This window comes from Homo sapiens, chromosome 3 (genome assembly GCF_000001405.40).
Source record: "Homo sapiens chromosome 3, GRCh38.p14 Primary Assembly".
NCBI lineage: Eukaryota > Metazoa > Chordata > Mammalia > Primates > Hominidae > Homo > Homo sapiens.
In genome coordinates, this window is record NC_000003.12 from 155,477,324 (window position 1) to 155,498,230 (window position 20,907).

Genomic DNA, 20,907 nt, shown 5'->3' on the forward strand with positions numbered 1-20,907 from the left:
ACATTGGTCTAGGCAAAATTTTTTTGAGAAATACCCACAAGCACGGGCAACCAAAGCAAAAACAGACAAATGGGATCACATCAAGTTAAAAGGCTTCTGCACAGCAAAGGAAACAATGAACAAAGTGAAGAGACAACACACAGAATGGGAGAAAATATTTGCAAATGACCCCTCTGACAAGGGATTAGTAACCAGAATATATAAGGAACTCAAACAACTCTATAGAAAAAAATCTAATAATCTGATCAAAAAATGGGCAACAGATTTTAATAGACATTTCTCAAAAGAAGACATACAAATGGAAAACAGGCATATGAAAAGGTGCTCAACATCATTGATCATCAGAGAAATGCAAATCAAAACTACAATGAGATATCATCTCACCCCAGTTAAAATGGCTTTTATCCAAAAGACAGGCAAAATCAAATGCTGATGAGGATGTGGAGAAAAGGGAACCATTGTACACTGTTGGTGGGAATATAAATTAGCATAACTACTATGGAGAACAGTTTGGAAGTGCCTCAAAAAACTAAAAATTGAGCTATCATATGATCCAGCAATACCACTTCTAGGTATATACCCAAAAGAAAGGAAATCATTATATCAAAGAGATCTCTGCACTCCTATGTGTGTTGCAGCACTGCTTACCTTAGCTAAGATTTGGAAGCAACCTAAGTGTCTATCAATAGATGAATGGATAAAGAAAATGTGGTACATATACACAATGGAGTACTATTCAGCCATAAAAAGAATGAGATCGTCATTTACAACAACATGGATGGAACTGGAGATCATTAGGTTAAGTGAAATAAGCCAGACACAGAAAAACAAACATTGCATGTTCTCACTTATTTGTGGGATCTAAAAATCAAAACAATTGAATTCATGGATATAGAGAGTAGGATAGTTACATAGGCTGGGAAGTGTAGTGGGAGACTGGGAGTAGGGAGGTGAAGATGGCTAATTAATACAAAAAAAATAGAAAGAATGAATAAGACCTACTATGTGATAGCACAACAGGATGACTATAGTCAATAATAACTTAACTGTATATTTTAAAATAAAGAGTGTAATTGGATTGTTCGTAAGTCAATGGGTAAGTCAAAGGATAAATGCTTGAGGAAATGGATACTCCATTCTCCATGATGTGCTTATTTCACATTGCATGCCTATATCAAAACATCTCATGTACTCCATACATATATGCACCTACTGTGTACCCACACAAATTAAATAATAAAAAAATTTAAAAAGGAAGAGGATTTAAATTCAATATTAACCAAGAAATAATATGTGTTTTTTGTTTTTTTTAAAGGGAAAGCATCAGCTAAATGAATGTGCTAATGGATTACACTTAATGTAATTAAGCTTATTTAATTAAATTAATAATTACTCTGAGCCTCAGTTTTTTCATGTGTGAAATGAACTTGATTTAATCCCAGTCCATTATCAAATTTGCTTATCAAATATTTCCATTTAAGAACTTTAAGGAGCAAAGGAAAATGAGTATTTCCTGGGACAGCCAGAAGTACTGTGCATCCAACCTATTTTCTTCTTTTGGGAGGGGGGTACATATGATAATTTAGTACATTCATATAATTTATAAAGAACAAATCACTGTACCTGGGATATCTAACACCTTAAATATTTGTCTTTTCTTTGTGCTAGAAACATTCCCAACCTATTTTCTGAAATTGCTTGTATTTCACTTCCCACAATTTTGGGGATCTCATAATTCTAGTCCATAAAATGTCAGTGTTTACCCTAAAGGAACAAAACAAAACAAATGTAAACTCCTGGATTTGTTTTAGAACAAAGATACCGTCAAATCCTAAAGGGCAGCTAAATTCTATTCTTTGGCAAGTGAATTTTAACAGCTGTACAGCATGTCAATCCCTTCTAAAACAAGGATACCTTAAAAACAAACCAAGGTCTAAGGATAGAATTAGGAGATTCAGAACTCCCAAGAAAACAAAAATGCCTTGGGCTCACTAAGGGCATAGAAATGGTCACTTACCCTTTCATCATTACACATCAGCCCCCAACCAGACTCCCAGTGCCTGTCCAGAAAATAAAGGACCCCCAACCTTGGGGAAAAGCTCAGAGTTGGGGACCAAGGGAACCAGGGACCAAGTGTTCTCCTCTGCACTCTTCCCTCACATTGCAAAGCTTCAGACAATTTCACTTGCCAAACATAACCTCTCACTTGCCTTCCCCACGTAGCTCCCCCACCCACGACCACCACCACCACCACCACTACCACCGCTTCCCTCCCACCACCCACCACCACAACCAGTTCAGAAGGCTTATTTTTAAACTTGCAATAGCAATGCCAAATGCAAGGAAACTCATTACATTTGATTTTCTTTCAAGTCGCCTCACAAATATGCTCTTTAAAGCATAAGGAAAACACTCAGAGACATAAATTGCTGCTTAAAACTGTCCTCTGTGATAGCTTTCTATTTTGTCGCAAACACATGGAAAGGATGTCAGAGTGCTGAGTGCTTTAACTCAATAGTCATCATATGAATTTCAATTGTAAAAAAAGTTCACCAAGTGTTTAAAAATGTGTTTTAATTATATTTTCATGAATTCCAGGAAGAACATCATTGCAGTTAATGTTACAAAAAAAAAAAACAAAGAGGGACATCTGAACATGCAATAAAAAAGTGAATTCACAGTGAAAATAATGCATGTCAGTACTAAAATAGAGTTGCTTGGTTCCCTGAAGGAAAAGGGTTTCTTCTAATTATCTGTTCACTTGGATTTTATTATGAGAAAATATTCTGTGAAAGCTTTGGGGAAGTTTTCAATTTGTGCTACTATTATCATTAGAGTCTGATGGAAGTCCCTCATTCTGAAAGCCGTTGTTCGCAGTCTGTAATTCAATCAGAAAATTCAAAAGTACAACAGGTAGTTTGGCAACTCGCTTCTTGTTACATACAAAGCCATTAGCAAAAATATGTAACAAAATTTATGTAAAACAAACAATTTTGTCCTTATGTACAAAAGACAGCCTTCTTCCTCACACCCTCACGGCCTATTCCAAAAAGTGGGAAGGGCATGGGGAGCAGCTATCCATCCCCTTTCAACTCTCATTATGGGTGGGATAAGAACATCCTAAAAGGCAAGGTAACTATTTTAAAGTTTTTAAAACTGAGTTATAAAAATGCATCTGGGCTTCTGAACAAAGAGGGAAACATAGGAAAAATGATAACAGATTAAAGTAAGGAATTCATCCCTTTGTCGTTTGCAAAGTCTCTTAATCAACTCAACAGTTAGAGAGTAAAAATGACTACATTTGTGACTGCAATCTGAGGACACAGTAAAGGACATCTTGGTGAAACACACACACATTATAACCCGAGCTGCTGAGGAGTTTCACATCTAGGGCATGCACATATTTCATACTGATACAGTTTACAACAACTCAAGGGAGAAAGATCATAATAGGTACATGGGAAATGTCACCAAATCTATATACAAACGCATTAACAGGGAGAACACATGAAGTCAAAGGGAGACCCAAATACAAGTTTAAAAATACATTTGAAAATCATTCCAAAGCCAAGGAACTTATTTACTGAAAACTCTGACATTCTACAGAATACCTTGAAAACCTTAAGAATGCAGTTTTAAATAATTCACAGTCTCAAAAGAAAATAAATTTCTGGTTTATCATCACTGCTTGGCTCAGTCTGCAAAACAGAATTATCTGAACAAAACTGGTCAACGTGGCCATAGTGAAGAGCCGTGCATGCCCCCTCTGGGATGCCCCGGCCTTCAAGGCCACCCCCTTTCGTGTTCTTCAGGTAGCCTGCGATGTAGGAGCCGGTGGAGTGGCGATTCACTGCAGGGGTGGGTGCTGAGGGTTTGTTTCTAAGAACCACTCCTGCCCCATTGCTGGGGTTTGGAACTTTCTGCTTGTTGGCTTCCTGTTTCTCCTTGGCACGACTAGCAATATTGCGCACTCTGCTCTGACTTCTGGATGACAACTTCCTGACCAGTGCCCGGGGGAGCTGATTGGCATCCTGCTTTGAATATAGCACTTGGCAGTTGTCTTCCTGGTCAAAGGACACAAGCTTCCGAAGCTGCTCGGTCAGGGCATCTATAGGCTCTAACGACTTTGTCTTCACAGTCACGCCCTTCTTGTCTCTAATGCCAGTTGTAACAAAACTCTTACTAATACACTGGTACTTGCTCTCAAAATTGCAGGCAATGTCCTCTGATGTTAAGTCCCCCAGACTTTTGGATTTGCAAGGACTAGGCAGTTTCAGAGCAGGCAAAGGAAGATGTGCCAACTGCTTGGGTACAGGGACATGCATATCTTGAGCACTAGATTGCTGGGGCACACAGGTCTGGAACATTTTTGCATCTGAATCTGAGAAATGATTATGCACAAAGCCAGCACCCTGATAGGCTAGATAAGAAATACTTTGAGTTTTGACATCTTGAATATTGTTGAATATTTCAGGGACAGAAGGGCGGAGGGTCTCTTTACAGTAGCCGTTTCTCAAACCTCTTTGAAAGTGTTCTACCACACCCTGATTGTACTTGAGTTTTAAAGGAGAAGCAAGTTGACTTGTGCCCTCTCTCCTATATTCACAGGTTGTTAGAGAAAGATTTTCTGATTCTCCATCAATTTCCACAAGGCTGCTCTCCCCAGAATTGAAACAGAGAGTGGGATCAGCTATTACATCCTCCAGGGTCAAATCAGGGGAAGAGGCAGGGCTGCAGCTCTTCAGTGTTTCCCAGTCTTCTCCCTTGGTAGGACTTTTTGGTAACCAGCCACGAGAAGTATTAGGGGATCCAGGCAGGTTGCTTTCTAAGGCCGCTGTCTTGGCCTTACTAGAAAGGTCATCATCTGGTTTGGTTTTAGAGATGGGAGTGCAGGTAGTTTCATAAACTGTGTTCGTTGCATGTTTGGTGGTCTCAGAACTCGAGAGTGCTATCAGCTCCGGAGATGAGCACAGGAAGGAAGACTTGGATTTTCCCTTGCAAAAACCATGCTTGATGGGCATTTTTAGGCCCAGGCTAGGCAAGGGACAATGGCCTGACATCACACTGGTATTATGAAGATGAGAAACAACTGTGAGAGCCTGATTGTTGGTCTCATCAAACTGGCCAATCAGGGCTGAGATGGAACTGCCCGGCTCATTCTCATTTGTTAAAGTGACATTGTCAATAAGATGGGAAATTACACTCTCCTGCAGAATTGCAGTTGAATGTAGGTCAGGTATGTCAGAACAGAGCATGGAGACGTCTGACAAAGAAAAGGATGTTGCAGCTCGGCCCTTACCCCTATTACCTTCCAGGTTCTTAATTTCTAGGTTGCTATGAGAAAGGACGCTTCCTGACAAGATGCTTTTCCCTTCCACAAAGTCCTCAGGATTACCCTTTTCCTTGATTTTCACACCATGCAGATCTTGTGTGGGGTTAACTACAGGATCGGGAGCCAAATGCTGCTTTGGGGAGAGAGACTTGCTGGGACAGGGGTTTTCCTGGCAATTGCTTGTGGCATTTGATGTGGTTCTCCCACCCCTAGGACTTGACATGCCCAGCTGTTCTCCTGTGACTGACATGTGGGCAGTAGATACAATGGTGTCCCCTTGGCTGGTATCTTTGTGGAGCAGAGCACTGGAGGAGGATGATAACTTTTTGTTGAAATTTAGAAAATGTGGATCTTTTATACTTGCTTTCCCTTTTCTTCTGCCATCTTTATCTTCTGCTGAAGGAGACAAACAATATTTTAGGTGACATCTATCACTTTATGTAGGACCTGCAAACACTCATGTTGTCTTCGGACAGACAAATGGAGAATGTAAATCTGTTACACTGTGACAGAATATAATTATGGATTGCATAGGTTTGCAACAAAGTGTCTGTGTGATGAATAAATGGTAAAATATATTTATAGGAATTTCACTGGAGCTTCCCTTTGAATATCTATTACATCTGCTAAGGATGTAATATTCATTGTCAAAAAAATGTCAATGAGTTACCATACTTTTACAGTGAGGATTACCTTAAGTTGTTTCCTATTCAGATTTGTACTACACAGAAGCATGGCAATAGAAACAGAACAAGACAGCTCTGTTAAACAAAGCATTGTGGTACCTGTAAGCAAGATACTATAAGCTTTCAAAGTTATACATGTATTAGTTAAAACAAAAAAAGAAGAAAAGAAGAAAAACATAATAATATCATTTTCAAAACATTTTGGGAGCATATTTAATTTAGTCAATTAATTTCTAAAATAATTGGAAGGTGCAATAAATGCATTAAAATATCAATATCTGTTGAGTTAAAATGTAAAGATAAAAATTGGTCATCAATTCCATGTCATTGCTAATATCTAATTTTTTGTTAATCATATATTTCTTTTTAATACACAAATTTCATATTGCATCCTTCCCTAAAAGTGGCAGTAAGTTGTCAGGCACAGTAAAGGAAAACCATAAAAACACAATTCACAGTAATTTGGGATAGCCCATCATGGTTAGTATACTGCTAGGAGAGTATGAGGTATTCAATTCTTCATCAGATTATTTTAATAATTTAATGCTTTCAGAGTCATGATATATAAGAAAAAGAACTTGTTCAACTTGTTATTAAATAGTTTCCAAACTAAAAATATTCATCATAAAAATTTTGAAAACCTCAAAAAATTATAAAGAAAAAATTAAATACCATATGATGTTACCACTGAGACAGCCACTGTAAGATTTTGCAGAGGAACAGAATAATATATAGAATTTTGTAGTCTGCTTTTTCTGTACTTAATGCAACATAACTATGTATTGTTTTATATTTACCGAAACTTTAATACACATGACTAATTTATATAACTGTTTTTTAAAAGTAGACAAGAAACATTACCTCAAAATTGCTTTCTAACTCACCTTAATGGTATTAACATCTTAACTGTGGCATTAACAGATAGAACCAATTTCTACTGAATATAGCTTTATTTTTCCCAAAGATGGGGTTTTAAAATACATTTTAAGGCACATGTTTTATCTCTTCTCTGACACTGCTCTTAGCAAAATTTCAAGCTTTTAAATGTTCTTTTTCTCCTTCAAATAAACCACTGAAGAATATCTTGTAACAAAAATCAATACAAGTAAAATGGTGTTTGTGGGAAAAGAGAGCACTGAAATTAGACCATTTGATAAAAGTTAAAAGAATAATTTTGCTAAAGGAAATCAGTACCACATTTTACTTGTCTGAGATGATTCTGATTTAATTAAAACATATTTGTTGCAGAGATATCAAATGCACACAGTTTTGGCGCTTAAATTTACCCCCAGATAGGATGGGTTGGGAGTCACCAACATCAGTCAAAAATTCTCTGGCACACTGCAAGGCGGTCTTCACTCTTTATTGAGCTCCTGATATGAGTCAATGATACACTCAAATTAAGGAAAAAGACAGGCAGCACCTGGTCCCTATGCTTGTGGAGCCCACAACCGTGCTGAAGCTGCAGGCACACCTCTATCTCTGTCAGCATCCAAGGATCAGGGAAGTGAGGCCACAGGAAAACACTGCCTGAGCCACATCTTGAGAAAAAAGATTTGCCTGTTTTTGAAAAAGGTGGCTCGTTTTTAACATCTGGCTTTCTTTCTCCATAAACATTTCCAATCATGGAAATGTGTTATATGGTAAGAAAAGTAATACAACTATATTCACCCTCAAAACAAATCAGTAAATATGGCACTCATTTGGAAAATCAATATTTCAAATCCTATTTTGCAGGTTTCATCTTCCTCTCTGTGCCATCACACCTAATGGCTCCCCTATCCCTCACTGTCAATTTCAGATGTTGATATTATGAAGCTCTTGGTGAGGAGGAAATGGATCTACCTGGCCCCCAAAGTTTAAAATCTTCTGGTCTGGAAGATCACATTACAAAGTATTTATTTTTCAGTATATTTTACTTTGACTACAGAATGTCAGCCACTTCATAATGGTAAACAGGGACTGACATGCAGCCTAGAAGGGTTTATTCTCAGAGAAACTTAAAGCATCTTACCTAGAGAGTTTTCTTTTCCTTCAATGTCTTTTGCTGTTTCAGATACAGGCAGCGACAAAGCTCCCAGAAGGTTTCTGTCAACAGGCATAGAGACAGGGCGTGCTTGCAAACTGCGTGTGGTCCTCCTCAGCACGCCATCTTGATCTCTTGTGGCCTCGGACACAGAATCCTTTATCTCCACCATTTCTTGGAAGCCCATTTTGCTCTTTTTCCTGCCTTTGGCTGGGGCGCTAGCTGTGCGTCGCAGAATTCTATCTCCAATGGATCGCTTCCGTACATAATGGGAATTGTTTTCTGAAGAACTGTGCCTAGGATTCTTATTGAACAGTCCCTTCAGACCCTGGAGTTGTCTGTTCTGAAGACACAAAAGAACCAACCACAAGTTAAGCAAATGCCATCACATCAACAACTTGCCTTGAAAATGACAGCTCCATGAAAAATGAATATAAACCAAAATCGTACAGCCATTGAAATATATTCAAACCAAGAAAGCAGCAGCTCACAGCATGTTTGCACAACTTCATGCACATCTTATCAACCTTACTTTGCAAGGACTTCAGCCTTCCATTCTTACATCAAGCTTTCCCAGAAGTTTCCTACCCAGAGATGACAAAGTGGTAGGAAAAGTCTCCACAGCTCATAGACTGCTATGAACTTCAGGCGCCTTAAAGCAACAGATGCATGTTTCAAAGTGGTAAGCAGGAAGATGGAGTGATATGAAAAAGCATGCTGCCATAACCACTTAAAAAGAAATATGCCAGCCAGAACAAAGCACCATGCTGAGAAACTACCTTTGTAGCTCCTAGAAAGTGCAATATAGTATAACTGGGGTTGAGTATTAAAGGGCTCCACTGTAAAGGAAAAAAACAAAACACAACAAAACACAATTGGGGCTCATTGAAGAGGGTGTCACAAGTAAACACAAAAGAAAAAATGCATACATGTCTATAAACCCTTTCTCTTAGTTTTGGGGATTTTTAGTCTTATGCTCATTCATTGTTCAACCAATATCCACTACACTGTGATGTGTGGATCCCAACCCGAACACATCTTGAAAGGAATAAAGAGTATGACTCATAAATGGACATTTATTTAGCAGAGAAGATGGAGGTGATATAGAACACTTTCAGATTTTAATTTATTTCTGGCTCAAGTTTGTTTTTTTTTTTTTTTTTTTTTTGAGACGGAGTCTCGCTCTGTCGCCCAGGCCGGACTGCGGACTGCAGTGGCGCAATCTCGGCTCACTGCAAGCTCCGCTTCCCGGGTTCACGCCATTCTCCTGCCTCAGCCTCCCGAGTAGCTGGGACTACAGGCGCCGGCCACCGCGCCCGGCTAATTTTTTGTATTTTTAGTAGAGACGGGGTTTCACCTTGTTAGCCAGGATGGTCTCGATCTCCTGACCTCATGATCCACCCGCCTCGGCCTCCCAAAGTGCTGGGATTACAGGCGTGAGCCACCGCGCCTGGCCCTGGCTCAAGTTTTAAACAAATTCAGAATGTAATTGTTTCCCTCAATGTGATAAATGCTAGAGATAATCTGTAGTTAACCTGGGATTCCTAGAATTCAAGAATCATTTTTGAATTATTTACATTTGTGTCTACTTAGATGAGAGGCAAGACCCCAACAAGCAGCACAAACAGAAATCCAGGACTAAACACAGGAAGTTATGGTATAAAACTTCACGAGTCTTAGAAATTAGGATCCTTACCCCCACCTCCACGCCCTTGCTGACAGATATGAAAATAAACTTTACACTCCCTAATTCATGCTGAAATGGTCCATTCCTTATTAGTTAGGTTGTAGTCATAATAACATTAATATTAGCCAACATTTCTGAGCATTTACTGCGTACCAGGCAGCTTTCTAAGGATAAGATATATATTTATTTATGAGATAGGTATTATTTTTATCCCACATTCACAGATGAGGAAGCTTCCAGCTATACAGATTTTCTGGCAAAGAGCACGGGACATTTCTAGGCCCCATTCAATGCTTTAACAGTCCCTCCAAATCCCGTGTGGTCCTGAAAATTCATACTGGTAACCAAGTCCCCAATTACTTGACATGACCAGAGGACAACCTATTGATTTGTAAACCTCAAATGAGTTCTATAACCAAGACAACAGCATCAGGAAAGAACTAGAATGCATTTACATGGTCGCCTTTTCAGTCCTATAGGTAGCTTTAAAATCCATTCACAATTTTTAGATTTTCAGTTAAAAACATTGGTACCAAATGAATGTAGCCTGCCTAGAAGTCGCTGGGATCACAGCCCAGTTAGTACAGGTAACTCATCAACCATCTGAGACACTGCATTTCCCACTGAGGCCAGTTGAGTCTTTTTAAGGATTAAAATAAAACTCAACATTTAACTATATCTTCATTGTTTTAGCCCAACAGATTACTGCCTGAGAGAATAATAGTTTTCTCAATTCTATTAAGCCCAGAGAGGGCCCCTGTATAGAAGAAATGAGTACACACCTTAAATAGTGAAAAGAGTACAGGTGGATCAGGACATGACTGGAATAGCAGACTGGGCTTGCTGGGCCTCCTTAGAGTTTTTGGTTCAAGAACAGTTTGTCAAAATTTACATTCCTATTATGCAATTAATCAGTAGCATTGTTAAGGACCATATTAATGTATATGACTTTAAATCCTATGATCTTTCTCACCTTTCCATAGATTTCATTGATGGTTATGTGTACAAATATGGATGCTTCTGTCAGTCCTTCCAAATAGACATGCCGGTAGCCTGATAAAAGGAAAGAGAGTCGTTTCTTTTTAGTTGAACTTGCATTTGGCTTTCTCATGGGTGCAACAAAATTAAGTATCTGACTTGACTGTAGTTCTTTTTTTTTTTGAGACAGAGTGTTGCTCTGTTGCCCAGGCTGGAATGCAGTGGCATGATCTTGGCTCACTGCAAACCCCGCCTCCTGGGTTCAAGCAATTCTCCTGCCTCGGCTTCCCGAATAGCTGGGATTACAGGCATGCACCACCACACCCGGCTAATTTTTTATTTTTAGTAGGGACGGGGTTTCTCCATGTTGGTCAGGCTGGTCTCGAACTCCTGACCTTAGGTGATCCTCCCACCTCGGCCTCCCAGAGTGCTGGGATTACAGGTGTGAGCCACTGCACCCAGCCCAACTATACTCCTTTACATTTTACAAAGTTTGTTAAAAGTCACATTTATTACATGACACATATTTTATCACGTATGCTATTATGTAAGTAACATATCATATATTACGTCTTCCAAATAAAAAGGAATGGTCAGTCTAGAGAGAAAAGGCCAGCTCATACCTACCAGGCACTAAGCTGCTGAAGGTCACAGTTCTTTGTCCAACAAAGTCTCGTCCAATGGGATCGTGATCCCACACAAGGAACCGAACCAAAGCTATTTCTGGCATGTGTACTGTAAATGTCAGTGTTTCTTCCCACACAGGGTTAAATCCTCAGAGAAATAGGAAAAGAAAAATCAGAAAAGCAAAGGACTTGGCTGAAAATGAGTTGGCAGCAACATCTGCAAAGCAGACGGTGAAAATTGCTTGCAATGGTTATTAAACTCATGAAGACAACTAAGCCACACTCAAGGATGCCTTACTGGAATAAAGCCTCGAAATTTACCCCCTTGCTAGAAAATAATTGGTAAGAAAATTGCCTGTAAATTATCACATCAAATCTATTAATCTTTGATGCCTAACTGTATTGTAGAGAAGCTCTTTAGTATTCAGAATGCTTCAATAAGTTAAAAAATTATCTATAGTAGTGATCTAAGAATAATGTTTTAGACAAAACAATAAAGAATGATATCCTCTCCCAACAGAATTATGCTTCTCATGCACCAAAGATCCTGCTGCTGTAATAACCACCAACAACCATTTTATAAGGTGCATTTGCAGGTTTCAACTCCTATTGTACATACATCCTCTTATTTCTTATAGCAATTCTCTAAGTTTTTTTTAGAGGATGTTTAGAGTTTTTAGAGTAGAGCAGGGTTTTGGTTTTTGTTTCTTTCTAATTAAAAAATATATATTACTGACTTTCAAAAATATATTACTTTCAAAAACTGTACAAGTAACACTCATCTTTTAAAGTAGGGAATATCAGTATTTATAAGACATTTTGTAGTTGAGAAAATTGATGTTCATAGACAATAATGTGCCCAAGGCCACACAAGGCCTTATAGTTAGTGACAGGGTCAAATTAGACCATGCACTATTGATTCCCAGTAGCTTCTCACGAAGCAAGACCTTACTGCATGAATGATGGCATATTTTCACAGCTACTGAAAAATAAGTTAATAAGGTATATAATTCACCTCAAATACTAAAATGCAAAAATACATTTACTTGGTAAAATTCTCTCCAATAAAATAACTATAAAAGTTGTTAAAAATTCAAGTACTCCATAAGTTTCTGTTTTTCTTCCTTTCTAAAAATGAAAATAAGTGTTTAAAAATGTATGCATTTCGGAGGTATCAACCACTTAACCCTATCAAAAAGCCTCGAGCTAATGAAATAATTATGAGCTGAAAAATCACTGAGATACCTCTCTTGAATCAGAGAAGATCTTTTTGTTGACTTAGTGATGACCTCTCAATTATTTCTGAGACTAAAAAAAGAAAGAAGAATCTATTGAACATCGGTGGGAAAATGCAATTTGAGAAGGTTTCTTTCTGTGTACATGTTTTTCCTAAGTTATAGGTTTGCCCTACTCTGAAACTGTAGTGTTCCTTCAGGGACTCCTTGTGAACCCTTAATTTCTCAAATTAATGATTGTGCTTCAAATGTATTTTACAGTATTAATCACAAGAGATTGAGGAAAAATAGGTATACAATAATGTTTGTGAAATGTATGAACAAACAAATTTTAAAAGATTACAAATAAAAAGACATGAGGCTTGGGTAAAGAAAAATTTCTTTATATTATGGCGAAAATATAAGAAGAATGCTGCCCCTCCAATCGTATGTAAATATTCAAGAAGTAAACTCGCCAGACTATATTGTGCTTGCCTTTAGAGTTTTACATGCTCCAGAAAAAGTGAGAAATTATCAAGACACATAGGCTTCACAAATGAGAGCTTTGAGAAAACGCATGTCATAAAAATACAATATAAACATATAATGGAGGCATTTCCTCAGTGAATTTTTAACCCAATTCTTTAAAATATCATTTACTCTTTTTACTAGAAAAAAAATTTCCTTTAAAAGCAAAAGTCTAGAGAGCCTAGATTACAATACCATAAAAATAAGCCACGCATCAATTCCACAGTTACTTAGTTTTATGTGTTGAAAAGCTTTTAACATAAACTCAGATGGGAGTTACGGATTTTAGAGATTTCTTGCTCTTCTACATAGACACTTTTTTTAGTGTAAATTCTATTTCTAGACCATCTTCATTAAAAAGTGAACACAGATTACCATCTTACCATTGTCATCTACCACACGGGTTTGATCTTTACAACAATCTACTGGCAATCCAATAATTTCAACTTCAACAAAAGGGTCAATGATCTATTAAGTAAAGAGAAAGTACTATTACAAATAACATATTTCTATACATATGTTAATTAATCTGAGAATATTGGCCAAAATGTCTACATTTCGACAGCAACTGATTTTACAAGGTGCTTAGTAAGAAAAAGAAATGGTACTAGGTGTGGTGGATTCAGATATATGAGACAAGTATAAAAAATATTAAATTACTGTTTGCTAGTATTTATTAACGCCAACAACTTTACCCACTGAACCTACAACTTTAGTTCAGGGCAAATACCAAACAGAACTGAGATGTTTTGCCCATGCACAAATGCTGAGAGCAGCTGTATCTATAATAGTCAAACACTGGAAACAACCTAAATTTCTATCATGAGTAGGATGGATAATTGTGGAATATACGTTTTTTGTTTTTTGTTATTTTGTTTTTTGAGATAGGGTCTTACTCTGTAGCTCAGGTCGGAGTGCAGTGGCATGATCTTAGCTCATGGCAGCCTCCACCTCCCAGGTTTAAGCCATCCTCCCACCTCAGCCTCCCGAGTAGCTGGGACTATAGGATTGTGCACCACACCTGGCTAATTTTGGTAATTTTTGTAGAGATGGGGTTTTGCCATGTTGTCCAGGCTGGTCTCAAACTCCTGAGCTCAGGCAATCTGCCCACCTCAGCCTCTCAAAGTGCTGGGATTATAAATGTGAGCCACCGTGCCTGGTCAGAAGTATGTGTTCAATGAATACTCTCAACAATGAGAAAAGAATAAAGTTCTCCTATATAACATAACGTTGAGCAAGCCAGACATAAAAGAGTACCTACTCTAAGAGTCCATTTATATAAAGTTTAGGAATAGACAAAATTTGTCTGCTGTGATAGGGGTTGGTGTTTGCTATGAGAGGCAGTGGGGAGGGTAGATATTGACTGGGAAGGTGGACAGGAGCCTTCTAGGGATTCTGGATATACTCTGCCTTGATCTGGGTGGCATAATAATTAATCAAGCTATGCATGTTTGATTCTTATACTTTAATTCCCATCCTCTCCTCTAGGGGGAAATATCTTGTATTGTTGGTCATCTGTAGACTCTCCTTTCTGGTACCAGTTCTGGGCGACGAACAATGAAGGAATAAAACCCAAAGAATCTAGAAAGAGCTGACCTAAGAAAGTCTAAAGCAGAGAAAGTAGACTTCTTAAAGCATTTATGGCGGTACCAAATTGTAGAGCTCTGTGATTTCCTTCCTTAAGATCCAAAAATGATGGTTTAATAGGCGGGAGTGACAAAGAACCTGAAGTAATGGATCAGCTCTGAGAGGAAGGGCATGAGCATAGGAGAAGCTGCTATATAGCGAGAAAACAGAAGCCAAGAAGGTATAATGGAAACAATGGGCTAAGAGCTCTGGAAAGAAAAAAGACTGTGGCCGCAGATGAAGACATTTTAAAATCACGCGACACAGGTACAGCAGATGATAATAAGAATCAGCACATGGCCAAGGAGCAGGTGGCTGATGTGCAGCAGGGAGGAGCATTGCAGGAGGACAGGAATGTGAGGTTATATTATTAACGGAACATTGCCTTTCTAGGTTAAGATATACTCTTAGGTGTTGTTCTGTTAATAATATAATTGTCTTTGCACTCCAATTTTAGCAATGCTAGTGTCAACCTTAAATTGTGAATTCAATTGTGTGCTCTTATGCCTTCAAAATAGATGATGGACAGCAGTACAGCAAGAACTGTGTGACTTACCAATAAATCAGTTAATGTCTGATAAGCTGAGGTCAGTGCTCAGTTATGAACACACATACATCTCTGAAGACATTTCGGATAAAATGTAAATGCACTAAGATAATCACATAATTAACCACTTAGACACGTAGTCATAGGCAACTTACCTCGCCTCGATCTCCAAACATGGAGTCTGGAGGTTTGGGGAGTTGCTGTCCACTGATAACTTTCAGGATGAGCTGCTTTTTGGGGTTGGCAGGAAGAGGGTCACCAGAGAAAGGGTTGAAAGTACCTAGGCCAAGTAAAGTATAAGTTGGTAACATAAGAAGAAACACACACGCATGCACAGCTTAAGCTTGTAAACAAAGAAACAAACAAACAAAAACAAATGCTGAATTACATGATCACATAACTATCAGTGTGGCATAGCTGTGGTTTTCATTAGAAACCATGTTGCCAAAGGCCAGTGGAGTGGGCCAACTTAAAGCAAGTGTTTGCAATGCAATGATCAACTGTGGAATGAAGGAAGAGAAGCATTTTATTTGAACACCAACAGTGTAAAAAGAAGAACAATTATGTCAGATTCAAATAATTTTCTAACCTAAACTATCTCAGGCATGAGTGAATATAACAAACAGAAAGAAGACTTGAAATTAAGTAAACAGCAGAGCAAGAAAATGTGCAAAGTGTAAAATCTTGAAGATAATCCTGTCAACAACTTTTTTATCTGAATTGTTATATATGTAATTTGGAAATTTTAAAAATAATTTTAATGAGCAGAACCAAAAGAAAGTGTTGTTTGATCTAACACATTATCCTTTTTTTGCTTTGTTTTGTTTCTTTTGAGATGGAGTCTCACTCTGTCACCCAGGCTGGAGTGCAGTGGTGTGATCTTGGCTCACTGCAACCTCTGCCTCCTGGGTTCCAGCGATTCTCCTACCTCAACTTCCCAAGTAGCTGGGACTACAGGCACGCACCACTATGCCCAGCTAATTCTGATTTTCAGTAGAGACGGCGTTTTACCATGTTGGCCAGGCTGGTCTCAAACTCCTGACCTCAGGTGATCCGCCCACCTTGACCTCACAAAGTGCTGGAATTACAGGCGTCAGCCCCCATGCCCAGCCTATCCTTTCTCTTTTGTTAGCACTGTTTTGTAATTGGACTACACTGAGTAAAAGGGCTTGATAAAATTGTTTCAGGTGGAATTGAAGCTTCCCAGCAGGTCACAGACTCACATTACTTAAGATAGTTTCTGAAAGATTGGGCTCAGACCTTAAAAAGCAGTCCAGCTTATATGGGGCACTGGATTTCAAGTGATAACCCAATGCTATCCATGTCCCTCTTTCACACACGACCTCTCAAGATAACATTCTAAACATCACGGCTAACCAAATATTAAGTAGTGGTGACAAGAATTCTAATTCACATTCAAACACCTTAACCTATCTTTTTGAAAAAAAAAAGTTGAAAAACTCTGGGGTATCACACTTTCTAAACAGCTTCCTTAATAAAGGTTGCCTGCATTTAGACTATGAAATTAACACACACCTGCATTTATGACTATGAAATTAATACACACCTTTGCACATTTGCTGGGGTTTGAGGACATAGCCACAATTGCCATTTGCCTTGAATTTGGCTCGGTTTAACTGCATCATTCGTCCTTCAGATTGATAATTCAGTGCCACTGTGCAAGTTGAAAGTGGGAGAGAATTAGGCAAGATGGTGGCATAGTGAGAATATACAGAGAACCACTCCTTCCCAAGGAATACACACCTAGCTGGCAGCCTGCGTTCCAGTAGGGGAGAGGGTTGAAGTTACTGGAATCAATGCGGTAGGCAGAGGGGTAAATCCTCGTGAGTTGCTTTTGATTATAAATCATGAACTGCTCTGATTTTTGCTGAACAACCTGATGTGCTCTTGTTTCACTGAATGATAACACATTTCCTGTGGTTCCTGGCAGTTTTTAATCGAGAAAAAAGGAAGTGAGAACTACAGCAAAGAAAACACCACGCACAGAAGACTTTATAATAATGTCAGATTATACCAATAGCAAAAAGCAGAGCACTAGAGAGTGGATTCAACCAGAGTAGAGGCAGCTCCTCAACAGAAAAGACCCATAACATTCCATTCATAGGGTTCTTTTGCCATTTTGAGGCCAAATCAGAGCTGTGTGTCTTGCTCAAGTAGCTGTCTATTTCTGGGTCCCCTGTTCTCCCTAAGAATTCAATCATACCGCTAATTTATGCCTATCTGGCTAGCATGAAAAGAACAGGTAGAAAAAATAACTTAAACAGAATATATTTGCCAAATATATAGACAACCATGGATAAATAAAACTAGATAGCTTCTTCCTGATAACAGGAAGACATTCATTGAAGGCACTCATCTAAAAGGCACACAAGTAAAACATGTATTACTAGTAACATCCAGGATCCAAGAAAATAAAGGAAAATGAACAATTATAAAAATAAAAAGTTGAGTTTTAAAGTTGCTTTGAATAGAACTATGGAACAAGTCAAAACCTATTTGGGAGAAAGGAATAATAATGGAGAAAAAGAGGTCAAAAGCATTATAAAGGAATAAAAGTTTTAAGAACAAAGACAGACATTCACCTAGCCACGCATATAAACTATGGAACAAAGTAAAGGAAGGTAAAAGTACATGAAGCCTGTACTAAAGTTTCTGCCAGCACAATCATCAGGAGGGGTCAATCTAGACTCACAGAAGCTGCAAATTTGGGGGTCATAATGGAGTAAAGCTCCAAACATTTAATATTCCACTCTTGTCTCCAATCCCACCTTTTGTACCATATCTACAAAGCCCCCGCTATTTCCACTCCTTCACCAAGAACCCATACCCTATCCCCAAAATGGCCGCCCATATGTCATTTGAACATGCTGGAAAAGACCAGCCCAGATAAAAAGACCCAAAGTTACCCAGAATCTCATTCTTATTCAGCCCTAATAAGCTGAGTGTGTCTGAGCCCAGACAGAGAGATGTGGTCCATGAAACCAAAGAGTTGAACTGTATATGGTCTCGCTTTGCCAGCTGGGCCTGAGTCATATCTAGACTCTGCATGTTTATTAACACACAGTTTCCCAGGGCCCCTGTGGTCCTCAGGGTTGTACACCCTTAGATGTTAGATGCTGCCCAACTGACAATGATACTCCCGAGTTAGAAGAGTCAGGAATACAAACTGTGGCAAAGAAATGAGAGGATTACAGTTTTTAATGTGATGATGTTTCTAGTTTAGACCCTTTCCTTAAAGATACATGTTCATATATTTTTTATTGGCATAACCTATTAACACAGTTTACATATCTCAAGCATACTAATATTGAACTTAATTGCAGATTTTGATGAGGGATGTTTTAAACATTATAGGAGAAAATATCTTTTTGACAAGCCTAATTCAGATAGAATAGGACTATAATCACTACTACTGTTTTGTCTGTCTCTCTACATAAATATGCACATCACAATATCATTGATACGACCTTGCTAATTAGGCACATATCAATTAGTATATTAATAGAGTTGAGTTGTATCACATTAGGATAAGCCATGCATTCATTATCTAGTTTTCATTTTGTGGCTGGCAAAAAAATTAAAAAGACAAAAACAGCTGAAGTTCCAGAGCTAAATAGTACTCAAGATTAATTTCCATTAAGTTAATAGGATTATGTTTTCCAAGCCATTTATTGGAAATTTTTATTCCCTAAACCAAATATACCTTTAACTTAATGCAATCATTCCCTGAGTTTATTTTTGAGCTAAGGGCAATTGTTGTAAGAGTGTGTTGCTCAGTTGCTGAGAATCCTACAGGTTCTCATGCTCTCACATGTGAAATTCATTTAAATCTTGTATAATTGTTACCATTTGAAGAAGGAATCAAGGCCAAAGGGAAGAAATCTTTCTGCAAATAGAAAAAGATACATTTGTGGAGTGGGGGCTGGGCAGGGGGAGATGGGAGGGAAGAATCCTGGAGGTTTGTGAGGACACAATGTTGTTTTCCCTTCACTAAAACTTGTTGAGAAATTTGGAGGTCCTGATTTACATTTCGGTTCCACTAAAATTAAAATTAGATGAAAAGCCACATGACAGTAGGTTTTTTTTCTGTAAGCATTCAGTAACTAAATGAAATAGAAGATAAAGGAGACAAGAGTAACTAGCAGGAAAGCCAAGGATATGAATAGATGTGACTAGAATTTCTCAGCTCCGTGTGGCAACTGATAGGTAAAAAACAGTGACGGAGAGAATGCTACTGAGATTTCTGCTCTTTTTGTTAAAACTTCAATCTGGATTAAGCTATTTTCACCCAAGTCAAAACTTTCATTGAGAAAATATAGGGCTTTTCAAGGTGTGATTTTAGCCAATTAATTTCTTCTTTTGGTCATTCGCATTTGGAATGGCCATCTGTGACCTGGTCCTCAAGCCGGGCCTGGACTTCACAGTTCAAGTGTTGCAGGAAGATCTTGCCCTGAGGCACTTGTCTTTGTATAGTAATAAAGTCCTCTTTGGCCCTGTGGGAACTTTCTCTGGCCTCTGGTCAATCAGGCAACCACAGTAATCAGTAGAACCCTCCATGTGAACTCAACACTATAGCAGCAGTGAGTTTCCTGACACTCAAATTGGTTTCTACATAGTCCCAAAAATGTGTGTTGATAATGGGATTAACAAAAATTCATTAACAATTGAAAAAGAAAGGTCAAGAATGTTTATTCAGAGCAGAATGAGAAAACTCTCCATCCTTACCGTCATCCACAATGTCCTGAGCGGCCACGGAGTTTGTGTACACAACCAAATCAGAGAGTTCTCGGCAGAGCTTCATGGTTTTCCTTCGGCGACCCAATCTGTGAAGTACCCACAGAGGATGCATGACATTTTGGAGTTGAAAGAGGTTTGGGTTCTTGGTTATCCCACTTTCCTTATTTAAGACAATGATTTAATAGGGAATACCTGCCCCAGGTCCTAAGGGAGCCAGGATTGGCACCCAAGTGTGCTTCCTAGTTCAGTGCTCTTTCCACCACAAAATCCTACTACAGTAGTCCCCCCTTATCCTCACTTTCCCTTTCCAGAGTTTCATTTGCCCATAGTTAACCATGGTCTAAAAATATTAAGTGGAAATTTCAGAAATAAACAATTCATGAGATTTTTTTTCTTTTTTTGAGACAGAGTCTCTCTCTGTTGCCCAAGCTGCAGTGCAGTGGCGCATTCTTGGTTCACTGCAACCTCTGCCTCCCAGGTTCAAGTGATTCTCCTGCCTCAGCCTCCCGAGTAGCTGGGACTACAGGTGCACACCACCACGCCAGCTAATTTTTTGTAATTTTAGCAGTGAAAGGGTTTCACCATGTTGGCCAGGCTGGTCTCAAACTCCTGACCTCAAGTGATCCACCTGCATTGGCCTCCCAAAATGCTAGGATTACAGACGCAAGCCACAGCACCTGGCCATGAGTTTTAAATTGTATGCCATTCTTAGTAGCATGATGAAATCTTGTGAGGTCCTGCTCCGTCCCACTCTGGACATGAGTCATCCCTTTGTCCAGCATATCCATGATGTATGTGTCATCTGGTAGACATCTTCTTATGTGACTGACTGTGGAGTGGAGGTTTTGCAGTGCTTATGTTCAAGTAACTCTTATTTTACTTAATAATGGCCCTAAAGT

At 38.6% G+C, this 20,907-nt stretch overlaps 1 protein-coding gene and 1 long non-coding RNA gene across 21 annotated transcripts in view, besides 1 other annotated feature; one reads left to right on the top strand and one right to left on the bottom strand.

Moving 5' to 3' along the window:
• Nucleotides 1-20,907, bottom strand: part of PLCH1 (phospholipase C eta 1) — a 294,138-nt gene that overhangs the window by 26,390 nt on the left and 246,841 nt on the right. For 9 of the 20 annotated variants that reach the window (XM_017005925.2, XM_005247238.2, XM_011512562.4 and 6 more), the window contains 10 exons: nucleotides 19,997-20,094; nucleotides 17,015-17,194; nucleotides 16,818-16,925; nucleotides 15,406-15,530; nucleotides 13,461-13,545; nucleotides 11,337-11,483; nucleotides 10,705-10,784; nucleotides 8,824-8,883; nucleotides 8,033-8,387; nucleotides 2,558-5,728 (listed from right to left, as the gene is read on the bottom strand). In XM_017005925.2, coding sequence (XP_016861414.1) covers nucleotides 3,645-5,728; nucleotides 8,033-8,387; nucleotides 8,824-8,883; nucleotides 10,705-10,784; nucleotides 11,337-11,483; nucleotides 13,461-13,545; nucleotides 15,406-15,530; nucleotides 16,818-16,925; nucleotides 17,015-17,194; nucleotides 19,997-20,094 — 3,322 coding nt within the window. In that variant the 3' untranslated portion in view covers nucleotides 2,558-3,644. Of the gene's footprint in view, nucleotides 1-2,557; nucleotides 5,729-6,025; nucleotides 6,054-8,032; nucleotides 8,388-8,823; nucleotides 8,884-10,704; nucleotides 10,785-11,336; nucleotides 11,484-13,460; nucleotides 13,546-15,405; nucleotides 15,531-16,817; nucleotides 16,926-17,014; nucleotides 17,195-19,996; nucleotides 20,095-20,907 lie in introns of those variants that run through there. The other 11 variants (XM_047447746.1, NM_014996.4, XM_005247239.2 and 8 more) reach the window with 6 other exon arrangements.
• Nucleotides 8,480-9,798, top strand: PLCH1-AS2 (PLCH1 antisense RNA 2). Its single transcript, NR_146955.1, has 2 exons — nucleotides 8,480-8,726; nucleotides 9,638-9,798. It is a non-coding gene; the product is annotated as a PLCH1 antisense RNA 2 (long non-coding RNA).
• Nucleotides 18,249-18,358: a silencer, noted in NCBI's record as "silent region_14832". NCBI's record gives its function as "represses an Ori minimal core promoter by ATAC-STARR-seq in GM12878 lymphoblastoid cells {active_cell/tissue: GM12878}" and the evidence as "EXISTENCE:reporter gene assay evidence [ECO:0000049][PMID:35858748]".